The 13,557-nt window shown below is 50.8% G+C and overlaps 1 annotated feature.

The window, feature by feature from the left end:
- Window positions 4,473-5,211: an enhancer, noted in NCBI's record as "OCT4-NANOG-H3K27ac-H3K4me1 hESC enhancer chr5:141218303-141219041 (GRCh37/hg19 assembly coordinates)". NCBI's record gives its function as "activates a minimal SCP1, AML or CMV promoter by ChIP-STARR-seq in naive and primed H9 embryonic stem cells {active_cell/tissue: H9 hESC(naive and primed)}" and the evidence as "EXISTENCE:reporter gene assay evidence [ECO:0000049][PMID:30033119]".

Genomic DNA, 13,557 nt, shown 5'->3' with positions numbered 1-13,557 from the left:
TCCCTTTCCTTGACCGTATTCCAATCTATGATTATTTAATCTTTTTGAGCCTTCAATTTCTGCCTCTTCCCACTAGAATAAAAGTTTGCAGGAGGCCAGAACGTTGTTTAACTTATTTACCACCACCGAAAATATTTGTTGCATGAATGAGTGAATGGAAGGAATTCTGCTTAGAGATTCTGTAGCCAGAGCAAGATAAGGGAGGGAGAAGGAGGGCAGGCTCCAGATGAGTAGGGCTGTAGGTGAGAACTGTGGTGAAAAGGGGGAAAGAGGGTTAGATGGTGAAGAGAGTGGGTGGGATGGGTTGGGAGGGACAATGGGGAAGAGGAGAGACCTGGGATGGAAGCAGATGGAGCTAGAACCAGGAGGCATGGACTTTAGGGGAAGGGATTCAGGTGCCCAGAGGCACCAGAGGCAGGGGCTTTGGGTAGGAGGAGGGCAAACCTGGAATAGGGAGTCAAGGACAGAGTGTGTCCTTGGCAAGGGCAAGGGGAAACCTGAAATTCAGGTCCGGGGCCACAGTGAGTAGAGTGCAGGGACCCACCAAGAGCAGCTGAGTCATAAGGATTTCCCAGGGCCTGCTGGTACCACCAATGTCCCTACAACTCACTCTCATCCCCAGATCTCCTCCCCTTGTCCTTCTAAGCCCATAAACAGGAAATGCCCCAGGCTGGGCTGGCCAGGCCGCCCTTATAGAAAGAGCCAGGGATCCTCCTCTGGCTGGGAAGGAGGCAAAGCCACAGGGGCTCCTGACCCTTTGATTACCCATGCTCTACCCAGGGAGGCTCCTTCGGAAGCCTCCGTCTTCCCAAATCAAAGGTGATGGCAATATTAACTCATTAGCACTAAGCCCCTAGAGGAAGCTGGATTTGAGGGGTAATCTTTTCACAGGGCCTCACCTTGTTCCTTGGCCCTCTCCTCAGCCCAGGGGCTTCCTGAGAAGGCAGACAAGGGACAGGCGAGATAGCCTGGAGGCTGGGGGGTGGGGAGATTCCCCTGAGAAGCAGTGTCTCCCCGGAATTGGGCAGAGTGGCTATGTGTGTGGGGGTGGGGGTGAGGGAACAGAGGAGATTGGAGGTGTGCACCTGCAGTGGTTGTCATGGTAACCTGGCCCAAGGGGGTGGCCTCTCCCCCAAAGCCCTGTGAAGCTTGGAACACAAGAGTGGAGACACACACACACACACACACACACACACACACACACACACACACACACACACGGTTTTGCAGAACTCTACTTCTGGGTTCTCTCTACTCCTCGGCTGCCCCTCTTCTCTCTACTTCTCTGGGTGAGGCTGACACGAGGGAGGGGGCCGTGGGAAGAGGATGTGTCAGGGTGCCAGCAAGCGGGAGGCCCTCCACAAGGTGGGTAGGGGATGTGCTTCGCAAATGGGTGGTTTGGTGTGGGATTATGTGTGCAGCGTAGCTGGGTGGTGTCCCCGTATCCACGGAGGACATGTATATACCCAGGTGACCCAGCCCCAGTCCTGCAGTCAGACCACACAGGAGAGGGATTTGGGGGGGATGATTATTAACAAAGACAACAATAATCACAGTTATCTTTAATTGAGAGTTTATTAAATTCCAGCTATGTGGTTGTGGTAAACATTTTACAGGCAGTGTCTCATTTGATTTTCAGCAATAGTACAAGGTAGGAACTATTAGCCCCGTTTACAGATGAGAAAACTGAGGTTCTAAGAGTTTAAGTAACTTGTTTCAGGTCAAGGAGCTGGAAAGAGACAGGTCAAGACTCTGTAGGAGGGGAGGAGGCACAGGACAGGGGTGCCAGCTGCTGAGGCCACTAGTCCTGTCCCCAGGCCCCAGGGGTCACTTATGCCCATGTGTCCCCATGCTTCCTGGCAGGACTGGTCTGGTGCCATGCCAAGAGGCAGAGCTTGGGAACTTCAGATCCTTGTGCCTGCCTGGACTGGGCCAGGCTGGTCTGGGGCAGCTGAGGGCACCTGTGAGAGTGCAGGGGTACACCAAGCAGCGGGCATCGTGATTGGCACGAGCCAGGGGAGCGGCTGGCAGCCTTGTTCCTGGTAAACACGAGGAGAGGTTACTTCACAAGGAAACAGTAATTAACTTTAATTAGCACCTTGCATCTCAGAATATTATTAACATCTCAATTTCTCTAATCAAGACAGCAGGAGAGGGGCGGCATCTGCTTTGCTGACTCCTTCCTGGCCATGCTCCCTGGCTTGGCTTGGGTTCCTGCCCGGCCCCCACCCCTTGGAAGGCTCCCAGGAGTACCTCCTCAGAGGCGAGTTGCCAAGGGGAGCCGGGGCTGAAGGGCAGAGAGCAGGTACGGGCCAGGGACACGCCAGCCAGCCCCAGCAGATGCAGGGCAGCAGGGCAGGGGCAGGACTCTTTACCTGCCACCTTATCTTTCCAAATAGACTCTAAGCACCGAGGACAGCAAGGCTTCTGTTCCCGATCCCATGAATACACATAATATAGCCTTCTTCTCTTTCTCCCTTACCCCTTTCCTCCCTCCCTTCTTTACTTCCTTTGTTCCTTCTCTTCCCTCCTTCCCCCTTCCCTCCTCTCTCTCTCCCTTCTTCGAGCTAACCTCCTTTTCTTTTTCCCAGTCTCTCCCTCATGCTCCCTGTCCTCCCCACTGGAATTCTCCATTTTAACAAGCATTTATTAAGCAGACCTTACAGGACAGGGGCCCTGCTCCCACAACTGGGGATACAGTAATGGGCACAGGATAAATCCTGCCCTTGGGTAGTTTAGAATCTCACAGGGGAGATAAGGCTCGAGTATAAAGAACTCTCATCTGGGCTTCATACTGATAGGCATCATAATGGCTGGGCAGATAAGGGGCTGAGGGGTTGTAGGAGGGAGGGGGACATGGGAGGGACCAGGGCCCTAGTTGTGGGGCACCAAGGCACGCGGAGGGCAGCAGGATCCAGAGGCAGCGAGGGCACTTGGTGCTGTTCAGCCCTCTTTAGAAGGCCATCACAAGGGAAGTCCCTGAGGGTGCAGAAAGTGACTCTCTTCATTGTACCCACCCTCAGTGGCTGTTAACCCTGCCACGTGTCTGATATTAATAACTGACTGTCCTCCTTGGTCTAATTACAGCGGCCTGCTGCTTGCACAATTTGTTATTTATTTGGCAGTGTCCTCGGGGCTATCTCTCTAGTCCATCCAATTTGTATTTACTGAGCACCTACTATGCCTGGAGGGCTGGGTCTACCCTGGAGTAGGCTCCCAGTGCTGGAGCTCCTCTCTATAGAGACTGGAGGGATCAGGAGAAAGCTGCCTACAGGCCTGGGCATTTCAGGAAAAAAAAAAAAAAAACACAACACACACACACACACACACACACACAAACACACACACACAGAAACCTGGCAGTGTCAGCAGGAGGTTCCCCATAGGGAAGAGTCTGGTTCCACATTGGCCTCATCAGCACCCCTGCCCTGCTGCTGTACTTGTGCCTACAGTGTCGCCTTTGGGCACCTCCCCCAACTCCATCTCTATTTTTATACCATTTAGAGGATAGCGTCAGAAGACTAAAGTCCAGCTATAAATCTTGTCCAACATTAACCCAGAGGGCAGGTTAAATGTTCAGCGGAGACCCCAATCTCAAACCCACCTAGCTGGGAGGGCACACACCATTTGATTTTATTATTTGCCTTGGTTCAGAAAACTGATCCCACATCAAGTTGCCAGGTGCAAAGTGGGACAGGTTATATCTGACCGCCCAGCTAATGTGGGCCACAGAACAGGAATGGGAATTGCTTTTCCTTTGCTGTCACTCTATTCCCCAGTTATGATTGAATTTCCTGGAGGCCTACAAGATTTTACTTATTTAATTCTCATAGTAAACCGTAAAAAGTGGGAATTATTATACCCATCTTACAGTTGGGGAAACAAGACAAAGAGATGAAGTCACATAGCTGGTAAGAAAGTGAAAGCATGGTGGGACAAGAACTGCTGGGATCACTTCCTCAGTTTTGATCTCTACACTTTATTGGGGGACCTCTGTCCTCCTGGAGCTTGAGCGCTGGGGAGGGGCGATGCTGGGCATGGTCCCTGTCCTTAAGGAAAATTACTTGCCAGTTAGAAACTCTAGCTCTTGGCCAGGTGTGGTGGCTCATGCCTGTCATCCCAGCACTTTGGAAGGCCGAGGCAGGTGGATCACCTGAGGTCAGGGGTTCGAGACCAGCCTGGCCAACATGGCGAAACCCCATCTCTACTAAAAATACAAAAATTAGCTAGGCGTGGTGGCAGGCACCTATAGTCCCAGCTACTCAGGAGGCTGAGGCAGGAGAATCACTTGAACCCGGGAGGCACAGGTTGCAGTGAGCCAAGATCGCACCACTGCACTCCAGCCTGGGTGACAGAGAGAGACTCCGTCTCAGAAAAAAAAAAAAAAAAGAAAAGAAAAAAAGAAATTCTAGCTCTCCTTCTCCCTCTCCAGCTCCTCCCCACCTCCAGCCCCAGCTCCAGCTCCTCAGGGTTGGGGGCTGGGCCTCTATAATTGTAGAGTAATCCGCACAAGGCGGGGAAGAATCTGAAGTTTCCAAAGGCCTTTTTGATGTTGATGATTATGGTGATGACGAGGCTGCACGTCTCCTACCAAGACTGGGGCCTTTCATTGTTTCTCTCTCCATCGAGGTCTCTCTCTCTCTGCCCTGAGGACTGGTGTTGTCAGAGGACCAGCATTTGCTCCTCTTTTGGGGAGGAAGGCGAGGGACTTGGCCAAAGTGAAAGCTGGGGAGTCAGCCCCGCGTCACCTTCCTGGCGCTGGGCTCGGGGGAGCGCTGATGTGATCATTAGCATAACATTTGCATAAGGAACAATTGAGGAGATTGGAGTTGAGCCTCAGAGGAAACACCTGCAAAGAACAGTGAATGAAAGCTTCTCCTACCCCCCACCCTGAGATGTTTCCTACAAACCCCCCAGGATTGGGGAGGATGGCAGGAACCCAATGTGACTAAAGATGATGATGATTGGTTGTAATTCCCAGAGTGCCTACTAAGTGCCAGGCACTGAAGTGAATGTTCTGTTTCTCTTGATAAAATGTACCACCCTGGGTGGTACATTTTATAAGCCCCATTTTACAGAGGAGGAAGCTGAGGTTCAGCTTCCCACCCCAGTCATATAGACTATGTTTGTGGTATGGCTGCGCTTTGGAATCAGGTCGTGTGACTCAGTGCCTTCCACCTGTCACAGTGGGGCAGGGTGCTCTGGGCTCACCTTAGGGACCAAGATCCAGTCCAAAGACAGGCTCCAGCACACAGACACACATGCTCATGCACACATGCACAGCGGCTCTGCCTCTCTCCCACCCTGCTTCTGGAGGCAGGAGAGTTGGCTGACTTGGCCCATAACCAGGTTAGCCAAGATCCAATTAACTAGTTAGCGCAGGCAGAGCTGGGGGCAGGCAGGGTGCGCAGGAGAGCAGGACGGATGGGTCGGGTAATGTGCAGAGACAGCCAGAGACAGTGGCTCCGCTCTAACCTGATAAGCAGCTCCCAGCATCAATGTGCCCCGCCTGGCAGGCTGAGCAGCCTCGATCTGGGGTGGCTGGTGGGGGTGCTGGGTCAGCCTCTGATCCTCGTACCCCACCACACACACAGTCAATTCAAAGCCCCTCAGCCTCTGGCCTCCCCTGAGCAACCCTCACTCCTACTCTGTCTCCTTCCAGGGCTGGGAGGCAGGCAGCTTCTGGGAGATAAATTTTCATCCAAATCAGGCCAAAGTAGAAAGCTGGGAATATCTGTCTTTGTGCAAGAAAGGTATGGGTGCAACAACCACCTCGAGGTGGGAAGGTGGGGGCAAAGCTGCTGGAGGAGTTAATGGGGGAGGTGAGGATAACAATAGCCACTATTTATGGAGTTTGCTGCGCCAGGCATGGTGCAAACCATTTATATTTACTATCAGGTACTATTAGAATCCCCATTTTGTAGATGAGGTAACTGAGGCTTAGAGAGGTTTAGAAACTTGCTCAAGATCATACATCTGTCAAGCTGCTGCCTCAGGCTCAAAAGTGCCACACTTCAGACCACCCCTGAAATTAGGTCTAGGACTACCAGTATTACCGATAACAATCCTACGTGCTTTTGTATATCACCTTAGAGTTTTCAAAGGCTTTTTGGATTTATGCTGACAACAGGCCCATAAGGTAGATGCTTTCTTTCTAACGTCCTTTTGACAGATAAATGAAATTGAGGCTTGGAGAGGCAATGTGACTTGTCCCAAGCCTCACAAGTGGTAAGTAACAGTCAGAGCATGAACCCAAGGCTGGGTCTTTCTTTCTTTCTTTTTTTTTGAGATGGAGTTTCATTCTGTTGCCCAGGCTGGAGTGCAGTGCTGCGATCTCAGCTCACTGCAACCTCCGCCTCCCGGGTTCAAGCGATTCTCCTGCCTCAGCCTCCTGAGTAGCTGGGACTACAGGTGTGTGCCACCATGCCCAGCTAATTTTTATATTTTTAGTAGAGACGGGGTTTCACCATGTTGGCCAGGATTGTCTCGATCTCTTGACCTCGTGATCCACCCACCTCGGCCTCCCAAAGTGCTGGGATTACAGGCGTGAGCCACAGCGCCCAGCCTTGGGCCGGGTCTTTCTAACTTCTAGTCTAGTACTCTTGAGAAGACAATGGAAAAAGAAAAAAAAAAAATCCCATCCCAAAGTCAAGGTGGGTCATGTATCTATTTAGTTGCTTATCACAAGCTTATTGGAAGCCAACTGTGTGCAAGATACCATGCTGGGCATGGTCATTCAGGGGTGGAGACAGCAAATGGCTTCTTGCCTTTATGGAGCAGACGGAGAGGAAAGCCCTGAAATTCGGTGTTTGGAGACTTGGGGCTGCCTTGGTCAGGGGATTCCAGGGAATGAAAAGCCAAAGAAAGATATCCTTTCTTTGCCTCTTACGGCACCAGACCATCTCTGGTTTGATTTCCTCGTGTTTTTCAGAAGCTGCACCTAAAGTCAAGAAAGTTAAGTAACTTCTCAAGGTCATACACAGAGACAGAAATGCAAACCAGCTCTCTTGGCTTTAAGGCTCCTTTCCTGTCAGCCTGGAGCTCCCTATTAATGGCAGGATGGGGACTTCCTAACTCTACAAGCTCTAAGTTCTGTCTGATGTCTTCTCACTACCCAATAGTGAAGGAAGAGATGCTGTGCCACCCATGCCCAGGTGAAGGGTCTCCATTTTCCTCAGTCTGTGCTCTGGTAGGAGAATCCGCTGAATTCTTGCTGCTTTGAGTAATCTGGGGCTTTGGGGTCAGGAGCTGGGAGGTGCACGTTGAACACGGCAGAACAAGAGCAAGGCCTACACCTGTATGGGACGTAGCATTTGGGCCATTCTGCAAGAATGTATGTGCACATCTGTGTTGCTGTTTCTCTGATACCAGCACTAGAAGGGTTAAGACGTCCTAGCCCAGGGGATGGAGAAGTTGTCTGCACAGGAAGCTTCTCTCCCAGTCCCAAAGGCCTGGGGGAGGGGGAAGGGGAGCGATTTTCTCATCTCTTTCCCAGGCTCCTCAGCCTCTCAGGGGACCCAGCTACATGCCGGAGAGGTGGCCCTTGACCCGTTCCCCTCCAGAGGCCCTCCCCAGCCCGAGAAAAGTCTGATCCCGCACAGGGTGCTGGGGCACTGGGAGAGTGGGACCCCTCCCAACTTCCTCACCTCGTTTTTTCCCACCATCTCACTTATTCCTTCCTTATTAGTGCCTGCCCCACTCCTGTCCCATATGCACCGTATTCAGACCCTGAACTTCTTCCCCCACCCCAGCTCCGGGCCCTCAGTTCTCTCTTCCAGCCCCCGCATTTGTAATCTTCTAAAAATAAAAGCCTGTGATTCAAGTAGGCAACTCCGGAAATATACAATCCAGCCCAGGCATCCGTTGGGTGGGGGACAAGGAAGGGCCCACATACAGAGAAATACCCAGACCCAGCTCACCCCCCAGGTAAACACAGGAACACAGTCTGTTCCTGAGGAGAAATAAGGCAGGGGGAGGAGAATACTGCCAGGTGGTGCTCTTGAACTAAGGTCCCTAGCAAAAGAGTCTGGGGTCTCCTCGTGGCCTCTTGTCTGTCACCATAAGCCATTGTTCCCTCCTACTTTCTCAGCAATGGCTCAGAGAAGTGGGGGCTGCTTCCCCAAGCCACCAGCCCTGACCATCTAGAGTCTGGACCAAAATCTTTGGAAATCCAGGCAGCTTTGGGTCCTTTCCCTTGGAGGGCGTCCTGGTCCCAGGGATGTGGAAGCGGGCCACTTCAGGCACAGCTGTTCAGAGGCATATATTCCCCATCCCCATTGCCTCCTTCCGCACCCTGGCCAGGCCTGAGGGCAAAGGGAATCCAGGAGCTATATCATCTAAGATTCCCCATGGGTTTCCACGGAAAGGGAGGCTCTCCAGTGGTCTAAAGGGACTCCAGCCCTGACCTGCGCCACATCCTCAGTGTGACAGAAAGACTAGGATCAAATCACCCTGGACTTTGGAGACAGTCATTCCCATACTGGGCCATATGGACTTCTGGCTGGAATTTATGTAACTGCTCAATCATAGTACATTTGGAGACCTCACAAATTATAGTAATAATTAATTAGAAGAACTATGGCTAACATTTTTCAAGCACTTACTATGCGCCAGACCTGGGCCAAATACTTCACATGCATCATTCTCACTTGGTCCTGTAAGGAACTTCCTTTTATCATCCCTAACTTCTGGGTAAGGAAACTGAGGCCTGGATCGCTCACAGAGCTGGCCCTAGGTCACACCAGTAAATGGCAAAGCTGAGACTTGAACTCAGGTCTGCTTGACTCCACAGCCTAACCTCTGTGCCAGGTTCCCCTTAACCTCTGTGCTTGTGCCAGGGCATGACGATGTGGAACCCTGCTGAGAGACATCTGAAAAGCAACTGTGGTCTCAGGCTCAGGTGGGCACCACTCATGTCCTGGGGATAGAAGTCTACTGGGAAGCTGAGGTTTCTTTCTGTGCCACATGGAAGAGTCAGCGGGCATGACACATGGGGTCAGACGATCCCTGGCTCCTTCCACACCCCACTGCACAGCCTCAGGAAGGCAGCAGCGGCCAGCTGTAGGGTCTCTGGGAAGTTGCCCCGTCAGCCTCATCCCTAGCTCCTCATCCCCAGCTGACTGGCGTCCTGACTGCCAGCCTACAGGCCTGATTGGCCCTTGCCAACCCCAGCCATGCAGACTTCCAGACAGCAGAAGTCCTGTTTTCTTCCATTTCCTTCTCAGGGAGGAGGAAAGGAGTGCTGGGCAGGGCAGGCAGCCCGGACAGGGCCCCAACCACAGCATTGTCAAGGAGACAAAGAACTGACCAGAACCTGCCCCTCTTGTCAGCATCTTTGGGTCTCTTCCGAGCCTTTGTCAGCCCAGCACTTCTGCTGTTCCCCCACACCTGGCTTTTGCATCCTAGGGAAGAATCAGTTCTTCCTCTTAGGCCCACAGGAGCTGTCCAGCTCTTCCTATACATGAGCAATCCCACTCAAGAGCATATATTTTGAATTACAGCCTTTTTTGGTTTAGACAAAATTTATCACATGCAAATTAGGTGGTGTGCCTGGAGGATCCCACCATTAAAGTTTATGTATATATGTTGAGTGTAGTAGGGGTCACTCAAGGGACCCCTTAGACATGTTGCCCATGAGAATACTAATGCTAACATTACCGGCTACCATTTATTATCAGCCACAAGCCTGACACTGTGCCAAGCCCTTTACATGCATTCTTTTTTTTTTTTGAGATGGAGTCTCATTCTGTCACCCAGGCTGGAATGCAATGGCACAATCTCGGCTCACTGCAAGCTCCACCTTCAAGTGATTCTCTTGCCTTAGCCTCCCGAGTAGCTGGGATTACAGGCGTGTGCCACCACGCCCGGCTAATTTTGTATTTTTAGTAGAGATGGGGTTTCTCCATGTTGGTCAGGCTGGTCTCAAACTCCCAACCTCAGGTGATCCACCCGCCTTGGCCTCCCAAAGTGCTGGGATTACAGGCGTGAGCCACTGCGCCCAGCCTCATGCATTCTTATTTAATACTCAACAACCTTATGAGTTAGGTGCTGCTTGTCTTCACTTTACAGAGGAGAAAACTGAGACCAAAGTCTCAGTAAGTAGATGAGCCAGGATTTGAACCCAGACCTATAGCATGTAGGGCTTTGTTTTCCCTCCCTCCCTCCCTTCCTTCCTTCCTTTCTCCCTCCCTCCCTTCCTCCCTCCTTCACTCCTCCTTATTTTTCTTTCTTTCTTTTCTTTTTTCTTTCTTTCCTTTCTTTTTTCTTTCTTTCTTTCCTTCCTTCCTTTTCTTCCTTTTTTTTTTTTTTTTTTGAGACAGGGTCTTGCTCTGTTGCTCAGGCTGGAGTGCAGTGACATCACCATGATTCACTGTAGCCTTGAACGCCCCCACCCCCACAGGCTCAAGAGATCTTCCTGCCTCAGGCTCCCAAATAGCTGGGACCACAGGCATGCGCCACCACACCCAGCTAATTTTTAAAATTTTTGTAGCAAGACAGAATCTTGCTATGTTGCCCAGGCTGGTCTTGAACTCCTGGACTCAAGCAATCCTCCTGCCTCAGCCTCCCAAAGTGCTAGGATTACAGGCATGAGCCACTGTGCACAGCCACATGGGCTTTCTTCTGGTCATTCCGCTCTTGGCTGGTTGGCCCTTGTGCATGCCCCACCAGTGCACATGCCCATCTGATAAAGTTGGTAGCATTTCCTGAAACTCTAAAACTGCTCCAGGCAGTTCTGAGGAGATAAGACATGTCCTGCAACCTGGGTTGGGCTTTGCTTTAAGCCTCTAATTGGCTGCTAGCCAGCACCTGCCTGACTCTACCAAACTCTTCTGATCAATAACTAGTGGATGCTTTTACACTCGTGAAGCATGGTTAAGTCCATCTTATTATGGCAACTCCTGATAGTTTCCCCCACCAAAGAATCCCTTCACCTCTTTCACGTTTGTCAGTTGAGCTACTAATTTATATGCTCCCTTTGTCCTTTGCTTTTAGGTCCTCCCTGATCCTCCCTCCCACTGTGACCTTGGGGGTCCAGGATAAATTCCATTAAAACTCCTGCTCCCTGTTCTTACCAGGATGGCCTTGATACATAAATTTAACTCTAGCCCCACTGTCTGTCTATCCTGTTATCTCTTTCTTAATATTTCTTTGGTCTTATTCCTCCTGCTCCTCCTCTGACTGTCTCTGATGTCTCGATCACTGCCTCCCTCCCCTGAGCCAATGCCACGGAACCGCCCAACATGTGTAAGTGTGACTGCCTGGAAAATGTAACCTTCAAAGAGCCTGAAGTTGAGTGACAGTAAACAGAACCTTGGAGACCCAGACATCATCTAGGGTTTACATGGACTCAGCGGCAGAGACTTGGAAACAAGGCAAGATGAGAGAGAGGGAGGGATGGGGATGATCAAAAGAATGAGCTGGAGGGAAAAGTGGGAACTAGGGAGAAGTAATATTGATTCAACCAGGCCACACAATCCTTGCTGTCAATGAGAGAAGGGCCTTCAGAGATCAGCTAGTCCAGGAGTGGCAAAGATGTTTCATGTCATGAGCTAATGTTGAATGATGACTAGCAGCTTCCTGGAATGCATCCTGAAAAGAGAGTGCCGTAGTTGATTAGCAATGTCTGCCATGGGCATTGGATGAGAAATGGTGGCATGTGTGCTAGGATTTACCTCTTTGATCTAATTCAACCTCTTCACTGTAGTACAACCCAGGAGTCCGCAGGGAAGGGATTTGTCCAAGGTTTTCACAGCGAGTTGCAGGCAGATCTCAAAGCTTTTGCGATCTCCTGAAACCCAGGTGGAATTTGCAAAACTAGGTATTGACAAGGGACTCAGGGAAAGTGGTGAGTTTCAGAAGCCCTGAGTGTGGGATAACTAGAAAAGGAGCTTCCACTCTGAGCTGTGGAGAAGAATGTGGATGCATTGCAGACCAGACACAGGTGAGTGCTTGGTTCTCATGGAGTGATCAGTTATCTGGATCTGCCCAGCACCCTGGATACCTTTTTCACCTTTTTCCTCCCAGGGAGAAAAAAGAAACCCTTTAGAGCAGAGGCTTTGGCTCTCTCTAGACAAAGGGTGGAGAACTCAGTGAGGAAGAGAAGAGGAGGGAAAATGGTCCTGGGCTGGGATGGCACCCTTAGGGGCAGAGCCACTGACTATGTGGCAATGGAAAGGGCCCTGAAAGAAGGTGGCAGGTAGGAGGAGCTGAAAGCCAGGCAGGAGGCACCTGTGTGTTGGTGTGTGGGCCAGAGAAGAAGAAAGAGCCTCCAGGTGACAAGAGCTGCAGAATGGGGATAATGATACCCTGACAAAGCAGCAGAGCTTGGAGCCCAGCCCAGCCAGGGGGTCTGGAACAGCTAAGCCGCAATGCACCACTCACAGGTGGAGGATGTGGGCCAGTGGGTGGGATGGAGATGGGGGCTGAGGTGGCCCAGGACCAGTGCAGCCTTGGAGGTTTGCTCCAGAGCTTTTGTCTCTGTTGTTCTTCCCTTCTCTTTCTTTCCCATCCCATCTCTTACTTTCTCTTTTCTTCCTCCCTCACCCCTCTATACCACAGAGTCTCCACTGGGAGTTGAAATAGGGGAGTAGTGAGAGTGGTGGTGACAGAAAGATCTGGAAGCTGCTTTAATTCAGATCATCTGCCTAAGGCTATGAAAAGAAACTAGACTGCAAGTGTCCCAACAGCAGAGAATCAGATCTGGATGCCATACCCAGTTTTTCATAAGACCTAACTGAGATCTAGAAGGTGAAGAACTCCCTGATGTCAGTGTCATGGTCAGACAGTCAAGTCTCCCATCTTCCTTCCTTGTCTCTGTGACCTAAGCTGATCTTACCCCAGGATCCCAGGGTGGGCACGTAACTTGACCTGGTCAATCTGTGTCTTCCATCTCCAGGACACGGTGACTCATTAAAAGTTAATCTGGCTGGGTGCCGTGGCTCACGCCTGTAATTCCAACACTTTGGGAGGCCAAGGCGGGTGGATCACAAGGTCAGGATTTCGAGACCAGCCTAACCAATATAGTGAAACCCCATCTCTACTAAAAATAGAAAAATCAGCTGGGCGTGGTGGCGGGTGCCTGTAATCCCAGCTACTCGGGAGACCGAGGCAGGAGAATTGCTTGAACCCAGGAGGCGGAGGTTGTGGTGAGCGGAGATTGTGCCACTGCACTCCAGCCTGGGCAACAGAGCGAGACTCCTTCTCAAAAAAAAAAAGAAAAGAAAAAAAAGTTAATCCAATAATATTAGCAGTGGATCTTTTGCTGAACTATTCAAAGATGAGTGGGTTCTTTCTGTCGGGTTTGCCACACTGGTCAGTGTAAGACTGGAGCTTCTTAAACTGCTTGGAAAGTGGCTATCAGAGAGTAAAGCTAACACAATGGAGAGAGACCCAAAAGTTGGAGTGAGGCAGATGCCAGGTGACAATGTCTGTGCGCCTTGATTCAGCTATGCCTGAAGTCTATTCCTGTGCTTTTCAGTTATGTGAGCAAAAAAGCTTAAGCCAGTTTGAGTTGTATTTTTGTCATTTGCATCTAAGAGACTCTAAGTCCACTTAGAG

The sequence above is a fragment of the Homo sapiens genome, chromosome 5 (assembly GCF_000001405.40).
Source record: "Homo sapiens chromosome 5, GRCh38.p14 Primary Assembly".
Taxonomy (NCBI): domain Eukaryota; kingdom Metazoa; phylum Chordata; class Mammalia; order Primates; family Hominidae; genus Homo; species Homo sapiens.
Note: the sequence above shows the minus strand (reverse complement) of the source record. Positions and strands in the feature narration are given on the sequence as shown.